At 41.4% G+C, this 10,302-nt stretch overlaps 1 annotated feature.

The window, feature by feature from the left end:
* Positions 1,735–2,255: an enhancer, noted in NCBI's record as "NANOG hESC enhancer chr10:44537391-44537911 (GRCh37/hg19 assembly coordinates)". NCBI's record gives its function as "activates a minimal SCP1, AML or CMV promoter by ChIP-STARR-seq in primed H9 embryonic stem cells {active_cell/tissue: H9 hESC(primed)}" and the evidence as "EXISTENCE:reporter gene assay evidence [ECO:0000049][PMID:30033119]".

The following is a 10,302-nucleotide window of genomic DNA, read 5'->3' as shown; positions in this document are numbered from 1 at the left end:
GACCCTCCCCTTGGCCATTCCCATCTCCTCCTCCCCACACTGAAATTCTCACTGGGAAAATTTGCGGGATCTTTTTTCTGTGATTGTTTTCTTGATAAACCGTCCATGCATAGTGTTTGAATGTTTCATGGTTTCATTGCTTCAGAGTTCCTGGGAAAACAATGTCATAGGGGGTGCCTGAAAAATGAAGCTAGAAATAATTGCGGAATGAACAAGGAGTCGGCTCCATTCTTACTCCCTGAATTCCAGGAAAGCGGGGATGTGGCACAGCCCTGTGTGGAGCAGGTGCCTGGCAGCTGGCCCAGCACACAATGGGCCCACAAATGTGCCCAGCTCCCTGGGTGAGAGCAGAATGATGGGAGCCCACCGCCCATGCCCTGCGGAGGGTGTGCCCAGCCTCGGACAGCCAGCAAGACAGACGCGGGCTCCCCTCTGCCTTTCACCCAGAATCAGGGCTCAAACAATATCCGAGCAGGAGGGCCAAACTAAAAGCCACGTTTTTGTCAGAAGATTTGCCACATCAGCCCTAGAGCGCTTTGCTCCCCTCTGCAAAGCAGATCCTGGGCCCGGGCAGAGGATGCTGCAGGGAGAAGCCCTGGGATGGACTGGGAGGACCAGAGCCCGAGAGGCGGGATGGACTGGGAGGGCCAGAGCCCGAGAGGCAGGAGCCCTGGCCTGGGTCCCTGCCTGTGCCTGTCTCTCACCAGATGCATCACTGGCACCCGGGTCCCCCGTTTGACCCAGTGTCCTCACCTGACCAACAAGGTGAACAACTGCTCTGAGTCATGGAGAGAACATGTCAACAGTGAAATCCCTGAGGATGGGAATAGGGATGGACAAGGCTAAATCAAGGGGTCCCTGGGCTGAGCTCTTCCTGGGAGTCAGGCACATTGGAGTCATAGGAGTAGATGGCTCACCTAACACAGACCACAACATCCTTTCCTTGGCTACAGTGAAGACCCCAAAATGTGGGTCCACCTCTTCATTGACGTGTCTTTTGTTTCCTACATATTTCCTTTATTCGTATCTTTGAAGACTTACCTGGTGCATTGGGGAGGTTGGGATGCAGATTTGGATCCAAGCCATGCCAGGCACAGGAGACAGAATCAGAGAAGAAACTGCCAGGAGGTGGCATCAGCACAGTGAACAGGGGCGATTCCTACCTGTGCATTTGGAAGTGGGGGCACAGGAGCAATGCAGCCAGAAGTGTCCATGTGGGGCTGAGCCCTGCTAGGACCAAAGAGGGACAGGGTGGGGACCTCCAAATCGGGTCCTCCAAATCCCCAAAGCTGCCACTGAAACTTCTCTGCACCCCTAAACTGATGCTCAATATTTCAGTTTTCCCTGTATCTTTAGGGGTCTGACAGGAGAAAGGAAGGAATATTGGGGACCAGGTTTGCTTAATAGGTCTGTAATTCTTGCCCCTGCACCCACATTATTAGAGGGGTTACCAAGCCACAGTGTGATGAGCCCACAGGAGCAAGAACTGGGTCTGTCCTATCCACTGCTACTCTTCCAGGGCCCCATGCAGCACTTGGCACAGAACTGATGTTCAGTGAATGTTTGCTGATTGAATGAATGGGCATTATGGGCTACTCCTTAGGTCTCACAGCAGGCAGTAGACACTGATGTGGCCAATCCTGCCCAGGCCTTTCCAGGTGGAGCTGGAATCTGACAAGTAATGTCTCCACCTTCACGCATCAGGGAAACCGGGAGATTTCAGCTTTCTGTCTGGGTTTCTACTGACACCCTGCTCAGTATCCCAGCTTTAGCACTGGAGTAGGGTGAGGATGCTGCCCTGTGGGATCTGGGAACTTTGACTCTGAGGAGGCTGGGCCCAGACAGACTGATAACATTGCAGATTGGCCTGTGTTTCTGAGCCCAGGGCAACTGGGGCTGGGAACTGCCAAAAGAAGCACTCTTTTATGCACATCCACTTTGGCTCTTATTTAGTCATGCTGGCCTTGTTTTGCAGAACAAAGGATCCAGTACCTCTGTCCCTGGCTCTCAGGAGCTCAGTGTAATGATGGATAATAGTTCAAGACCCTTGATCCACAGTATGGAAAGGTATGTTCCCTGGGGGCTGGCTGCTCCTGTGTGCTTCAACTTAATATTCACCACATTCTGTGCACACAGCACATAATGTCTCTTTTATATATGTGCAGTCTGAGGTTCAGAAAATTGGTGACTTGACCTACCTGGAACCAACTGCAAGATTTAGGCCTTTTTGCCTTGCTTTGAAATTAGAAATATCACAATTCTTCAAATCTCCTTTCTGAAACAAACTCACTGGTTCCAGTCTGAACACAGCCCCCAAATGTCCCAATCAGCCAAAAAGCATCAGCACATCCATTGCCTTGGCCAGTGCCTTTTCTGTAGGAAAAGGTGTTAGACTGAGCATCAGAAGATAAACGTTTGATTTCCCAATGTGAATTTTACTGTTTCTTTGATGTTGGGATAGTCCTTTTATCTCTCTATAATTTAGTGACCTCACTTTTTTGTTTGTTTGGTTTTTGGTTTTTGTTTTGAGAGAGAGTCTCACTCTGTTGCCCAGGCTGGAGTGCAGTGGTGCAATCATAGGTTACTGAAGCCTTGAACTCCTGTGCTCAAGCGATCCTCCCATCTCAGCCTCCAGAGTTACTTCACCTTTTATGTAATGTATTCCTTCTCCTCCCCACCTCACCTAAAATATCTCCACCTAAAAAATCAGGTCCACCTAAAAAATCTGCTTTTTTTAAAAAAGCGTTATTCTCTTTGTTTTTTAGTTTAGATAGTTTGTATAGCTCTGTCTTCCAGTTCACTGATGTTTTCTTTTGTAATGTATATAGCATTGTCTTAAGTCTATCTATTGAACGTTTCACTTTAAATATAATAATTTTTTAGTTTTAGAATATCTATTTGGTTTATTTTCTAGTTTCCATGTTTCTGACCCTGTTCCCCTTCTGCTCAGCTATTCTGCTTACTTTTTAATTGAAATCTTTCAATACATTTATATTAACTGTAGTCCATGCCTGCTAATGGAAAAATTTGTCTCATCTTTGGGTCTGTTTATACTGACTTTTTTGTTATGCATCACATTTTCCTACTTCTTCTCATGCCTAGTAGTTTTCAATCATATGTAACAGTAGTTAGTTACACTGTTGAGAAAATGAATTTAGTTTTCTTCCTTCAAAAAGTATCAATTTTTGTTGTGGAAGGCAGTTTATTTACTGGTAGATAAGCATCAGTTGGCCAAGGATTGATCTTCAGCTTTGTTAAGGCACATCTAGAGTATCCTTTAGTCTAGGGCTAACATAGCCCTACCCTGAGGTATTGACCATTTAGGACTTCATTCAGTGAGCTCATTCTGATCTTGCTGGTTAGAACTCCAGCATCTCTCAGAACTGTATGACCTCTGAAGCCTCCTTTTAGCTTAGAGCCTCCAGTAGCTGCAGCTTTCAGTCTTGCTTTGTGCACATGAAGTATAGTGCTCAGCCAAAGACTCAAGGAGATCTCGAATATTTTTGTGCCCCTTTTCTTTTCTCTTTTTTCAATGGATTCCCCATAGTTTTCAGTTTTTACTTTTTTAATTAATGAAAAGTTGTATATATTATGGTATGTATCATGGTGTTTTGAAATATGTATACATTGTGGAGTGGCTACTGGTGTCCCTTTTCTAAGTAGTTCCCTCCTCTCCAGTTTTATGCCCCACACACTTTAGCCATGGTCCTGGCTCCAAATATCCAGCTGCTTCACTGATGAGTGAGGCTGCAGCTCTTTATGGAGCTCTACTTCCTCATGTCACAGTTCAGAAAGTGACTCAATGCAGAAAACAGAGAGAACACAAAGTTCACCTCATATTCTCATCTCTCAAAGATCGTAGCCAGCTATTTATCAATAATCATTGTCATCACTCTTAAAAGAACTACTGATGCTTGTTTTCTCTCTGAATCCTTTGAGCCTCCCAAGCTGCCATTCAGAATCCTTACAGTCCTATCTTTCTGAAGGCCATGGCAATGACATGGAAACAAAGCACCCAAGCAAATGCCATGGGTGCCCACCTAGTAGGTGTGCAGACGGGGCCTCTGCAGGTTCAGAGCAGATGAAAACTGCCATCTCCTCTACCACCTGGCAGTCCATGATTCAGTGACGCACAACTCCCTCTCAAGCTGGATACACTCCTAATGATCACTGTTTTCATAATGAAATTGCACCACTGGATTCCAGTGCACATGAAGCACACAAATGCACTTATCTCTGTGTTTAAGCTTCACATAGGGGCCAAATGTGAAGGAATCTCAAGGCAATTTACTTGGATTTGAAATATATTTGCTTCTGGCTTACGGAGTCTTTGAGGTTTTGCTTTTCTTGAGGAAGAACAAAAGAATGTTATTCTAATATCTCTCAGGACAATACAATCACACATCAGCTCTAGGCTCTGTTGGTTACCTTGGCAAGCTTCTGATATTTCCTTTGGCACCTCCGTGACTGAATTGAGAATGGTCAAATTGAGATCCACCTTCGAATCAATGAATAACTCAATGAAGGCATGGCAGAATTAAAATGACATCAACACAGGCAGTGTGATAAATGAAAAGAGACTTGAACTGAGCATACAAGCTTTCCTTATAAAATTCTACTTTGCATTGCTTTAATTAATAAGAAAATCGAACTGATTTTTATTTTCCCTAATGTGTGTTTATCATTTATACTTTACTTTAAATAAAACTTCTTGTTATATTCTTTAACCTCTTGTCCTTTTCTGACTTCAGAGAATTTTGTAGTTTGGGATAAGATTTTTAAAAAACTATGCCTGTCACTGTTGTCACAACTCTTTCTTTCAATTTTAACTCTGTTAGTGTTTGTAGAATAGAATTTTAAATTATTATTATTATTATTATTTTTTAATTTTATTCTTATTATACTTTCTAAGTTTTAGGGTACGTATGCACAATGTGCAGGTTAGTTACATATGTATACATGTGCCATGCTGGTGTGCTGCACCCATTAACTCGTCATTTAGCATTAGGTATATCTCCTAAAGTTATCCCTCCCCCTTCCCCCAACCCCACAACAGTCCCCAGAGTATGATGTTCCCCTTCCTGTGTCCATGTGTTCTCATTGTTCAATTCCCACCTATGAGTGAGAATATGCGGTGTTTGGTTTTTTGTTCTTGCGATAGTTTACTGAGAATGATGATTTCCAATTTCATCCATGTCCCTACAAAGGACATGAACTCATCATTTTTTATGGCTGCATAGTATTCCATGGTGTATATGTGCCATATTTTCTTAATCCAGTCTATCGTTGTTGGACATTTGGGTTGGTTCCAAGTCTTTGCTATTGTGAATAGTGCCGCAATAAACATATGTGTGCATGTGTCTTTATAGCAGCATGATTTATAGTCCTTTGGGTATATACCCAGTAATGGGATCACTGGGTCAAATGGTATTTCTCGTTCTAGATCCCTGAGGAATCGCCACACCAACTTCCACAATGGTTGAACTAGTTTACAGTCCCACCAACAGTGTAAAAGTGTTCCTATTTCTCCATATCCTCTCCAGCACCTGTTGTTTCCTGACTTTTTAATGATTGCCATTCTAACTGGTGTGAGATGGTATCTCATTGTGGTTTTCATTTGCATTTCTCTGATGGCCAGTGATGGTGAGCATTTTTTCCTGTGTTTTTTGGCTGCATAAATGTCTTCTTTTGAGAAGTGTCTGTTCATGTCCTTCGCCCACTTTCTGATGGGGTTGTTTGTTTTTTTCTTGTAAATTTGTTTGAGTTCATTGTAGATTCTGGATATTAGCCCTTTGTCAGATGAGTAGGTTGTGAAAATTTTCTCCCATTTTGTAGGTTGCCTGTTCACTCTGACGGTAGTTTCTTTTGCTGTGCAGAAGCTCTTTAGTTTAATTAGATCCCATTTGTCAATTTTGGCTTTTGTTGCCATTGCTTTTGGTGTTTTAGTCATGAAGTCCTTCCCCATGCCTATGTCCTGAATGGTAATGCCTAGGTTTTCTTCTAGGGTTTTTATGGTTTTAGGTCTAACGTTTAAGTCGTTAATCCATCTTGAATTAATTTTTGTATAAGGTGTAAGGAGGGGATCCAGTTTCAGCTTTCTACATATGGCTAGCCAGTTTTCCCAGCACCATTTATGAAATAGGGAATCCTTTCCCCACTGCTTGTTTTTCTCAGGTTTGTCAAAGTTCAGATAGTTGTAGATATGTGGCATTATTTCTGAGGGCTCTGTTCTGTTCCATTGATCTATATCTCTGTTTTGGTACCAGTACCATGCTGTTTTGGTTACTGTAGCCTTGTAGTATAGTTTGAAGTCAGGTAGCATGATGCCTCCAGCTTTGTTCTTTTGGCTTAGGATTGACTTGGCGATGTGGGCTCTTTTTTGGTTCCATATGAACTTTAAAGTAGTTTTTTCCAATTCTGTGAAGAAAGTCATTGGTAGCTTGATGGGGATGGCAGTGAATCTATAAATTACCTTGGGCAGTATGGCCATTTTCATGATATTGATTCTTCCTACCCATGAGCATGGAATGTTCTTCCATTTGTTTGTATTCTCTTTTATTTCATTGAGTAGTGGTTTGTAGTTCTCCTTGAAGAGGTCCTTCATGTCTTTTTTAATTTGTTGAATTTATTTAAAATTTTTTTCTATTTTCCTTGGAAAATTCTCATTTTTGTACTCTGTATTAAATGTATTTTCTAATTTTAGCTATTTTAGTTTTTATTATTTTATCCACTTTGGCTTTATTTTGCAATATAATGTGAATTATGAATCTAAATTAATTTTTTTCATATTGTTAAAATTACCCCCACTCATTTTTAATGTCTATCCTGCATTGTTTATAACATTATTTTACATATTACATTTGTATCTAAAGAAATTCAATGTTCTGGGTTCCTGATCTGTTCTACAGTGTATACCAAATTTCTTAAAAATTAAAAAACTAATTAACTTAATTTCTTAAAATTCTAATATCAGTTGTATTTGATCAAACATTCATATGTCATTTTAATTTCAGAATACTATCAAAATCTTCTCAAATTTATTTCTCATACCTCTTTTAGTATTTTATTAACCATAAACAATATGCCACCACATCTGACCTAGCTTATATGAATTTTGTGTTCAAATATATTTATAATAGTGTTATTTTTAATGAGATAAAATTTACCTAAATATAAAATAGCAGTGCAACAAACTGTACTGCAAGGTTAATCATTAAAGCATCATTAAAATATTCTAAAATAACATGTAACTACATGGGCAAAGTTCTCATTGTGAGCATAAGTGAAAATAACAGAATGCATCGTTCTTTATGTATAATTATCCCAATTGTAAAGTATGTGCTTATACTCATTCCCTCATTTAACAGTTATTTATGAAACTTCTACTATGGACCAAAAACTATTTAGAGTGTTGAAGTTACAACAGTTAACAAAGCATGCAGAAACCCCTGCCCTCATGGGACACCCTCATGGGATGTCTCAGTGTGGGGACAGCCAGTGGTATCTTAGAACTGGCTCAAACGGGTTCGCAAGACCAAATTGTGAAATTTTCAAGAATTTTGCAAGCTGATTGTTGAACATAGCTATTCTTGCAAATTAGCCCTGGTGGGAATGTTTACACCATTGGCAAACACTACCCATCAGGGTGCCCCCGCCCCACCCTGCTGTGAACAGCCAGTGGTAAAACATTCATCAGAACACTACTGGGAGAGTTAAACAAAAAGATAAATAAGTTATCTCTATTAAAAAGTATTTGTGAGAGTGTGTGTGTGTTTTACATATATTTTTTAATAGTAATGTGAGCTAAAGAGAAAATTAAAGCAGTGAAGAGGAATAAGGCGTGGTCAGTGTTGGAGGTAAAACAGAGTTTTGGGTAAGGGGACCAGGGAAGATCTCTCTGAGAAGGTACCTTTTAAGTCAGGCCCTAAAGGGGCTGGTGCCAGAAGCACAAGTGTGCATGGACGTGCATGAACCCTGTGGGCAGGGGCTTCAAAACAGAGAGTAGACCAAGGACCTACCCACTGGCCCACCGGAAAAACCTCCCACCCCTTAGGGAAGGGTGAGTGAGGTGTAGACAGTAGAAAGGGAACTGCCTAGTCACCCCAGGTATGCAACATTTCTTGAGCAGACAGAGGTGAAGGGACTGGAGAAAATGTGGTTTCTCCCACAACTGAGGAGAGTTGTTCAGAGGGAGGGTGTTTCCTGAAGCAGAGGGTTAAGAGTCTAGACGACTGCCCGAGTGGGATCTAGAATAAGAATGTCAGGTCTTAATTGAACGGCATGTGGATTGGAGATTACCAGAAAATGGGGTGAGACCTACAAGCCAGAGCAGAGATGCAGCAAGGTAACAGCATCCCTCAGATGCCATTTCATCCCAGGAGACCCAGGCATCAGGTTTGGAGCAGCAGAAAATACAGGCACCCTCAGCTAGTCAGTGGTGGGAGGGGAAGAGTTTCTAGTAATTCCGAGCCTGGGAAGATTTCAGTTCACATGAACAAGAGCTAAAGCTGACAAGAGGTCTGCTCAGCCTCCTTCAGTTTCTAGATGAACAATGACGCCAACAAATCCAGCGTTCTGTGTCACCTTTGTCACAGCACCACAGGAAGAGCTCATTCTGTTGTACTTTGCTCTAGCATTTTTACAAATTGAAGGTTTGTAGCAATCCCACGTCAGACAAGTCTATGGTCACCATTTTTTCAACAGCATGTGCTCACTTCCTGTCTCTGTGTCACATTTTGGTAATTCTCACCATATTTCAAGCTTTATTATTATTATTATTATATCTATTGTGGTGATCTGTGATCATTAATCTGTGATGTTACTATTGTAATTAGGGGGGTGCATGACGAACCACAGTCATATAAGATGAAAAACTTAAATCAATAAATGTATTTGTTTTGACTGCTCCATTGACCAGCCATTCCCCATCTCTTTCCCTCTCCTTGGGCATCCCTATTCCTTGAGACACAACACTACTAAATTAGGACAATTAATAACCCTACAATAGCCTCTAAGTGTTCAAATGAAGTCAGGTCTCACATCTCTCCCTTTCAATCAAAAGCTAGAAATGACTAAGCTTAGTGAAGAAGGCATGTCAAAAGCTGAGAAGGACAGCGGAGAGCTGGGCTTCTTGTACCAAACAGTTAGCCAAGGTGTGAATGCAAAGGAAAAGATTTTGAAAAAAATTAAAAGTGCTACTCCAGTGAACACATGGATGATAAGAAAGTGAAATAGCCTTAATGCTGATATGGAGAAAATTTTATTGGCCTGGACAGAAGATCAAACCAGACACAGTATTCCCTTAAGTCAAAGCCTAACCCAGAGCAAAGCCCTAACTCTCTTCAATTTTAAGAAGGCTGAGAGAGGTGAGGAACCTGCAGAAGAAAAGTTGGAAGCAAGTAGAGGTTGGTTCATGAGGTTTGAGGAAAGAAGCCATCTCTACAACAAAAAGGTGCGAGGTGAAGCAGCAAGTGCTGATGGAGAAGCTGCAGCAAGGTATCCAGAAGATCCAGCAAAGATCACTGATGAAGGTGGCTACACTAAAAAGATTTTCAGTGTAGACAAAGCAGCCTTATACTGGAAGGAGATGCCATCTAGGACTTTCATAGCTAGAGAGAAGTCAATGCCTGACTTCAAAGCATCAAAGGACAGGCTGACTCTCTAACTGGACTTTAAGTGGAAGCCATTGTCCATTCTGAAAATCCTCAGGCCCTTAAGAATTATGCTAAATTTACTCTGCCTGTGCTCTGTAAATAAAACAAAGCCTCAATGACAGCATCTCTGTTTATAGCATGGTTTACTGAATATATATATTTAAGCCCACTGTTGGACTTACTGCTCAGAAAACAAGATTTCTTTCAAAATATTACTGCTCATTGACAATGCACCTGGTCACCCTGAAGCTCTGATGGAGGTGTACAATGAGATGAATGTTTTCATGCCTGCTAACACAACATTTATTCTGCAGCCCAGGCATTAAGGAGTAGTTTTGATTTTCAAGTCTTATTATTTAAGTAACACATTTTACAAGGCTATAGCTGCCATAGGTAGTGATTCTTCTGATGGATCTAGGCAAAGTAAATTGAAAACATTTTGGAAAGGATTCACCATTCTGGAAGCCACTAAGATCATTCATGATTCATGGGAGGAGGTCAAATATCAACATTAACAGGAGTTTGGAAGAAGTTAATTACAGCCCTCATGGATGACTTTGAGGGACTCAAGACTTCAGTGAAGGAAGTAACTGCAGATGTGGTGGAAATAGCAAGAGACCTAGAATTAGAAGTGGAGCCTGAAGATGTG

This window comes from Homo sapiens, chromosome 10 (genome assembly GCF_000001405.40).
Source record: "Homo sapiens chromosome 10, GRCh38.p14 Primary Assembly".
Classification (NCBI taxonomy): domain Eukaryota; kingdom Metazoa; phylum Chordata; class Mammalia; order Primates; family Hominidae; genus Homo; species Homo sapiens.
This window is presented reverse-complemented; position numbering and strand designations above follow the sequence as displayed.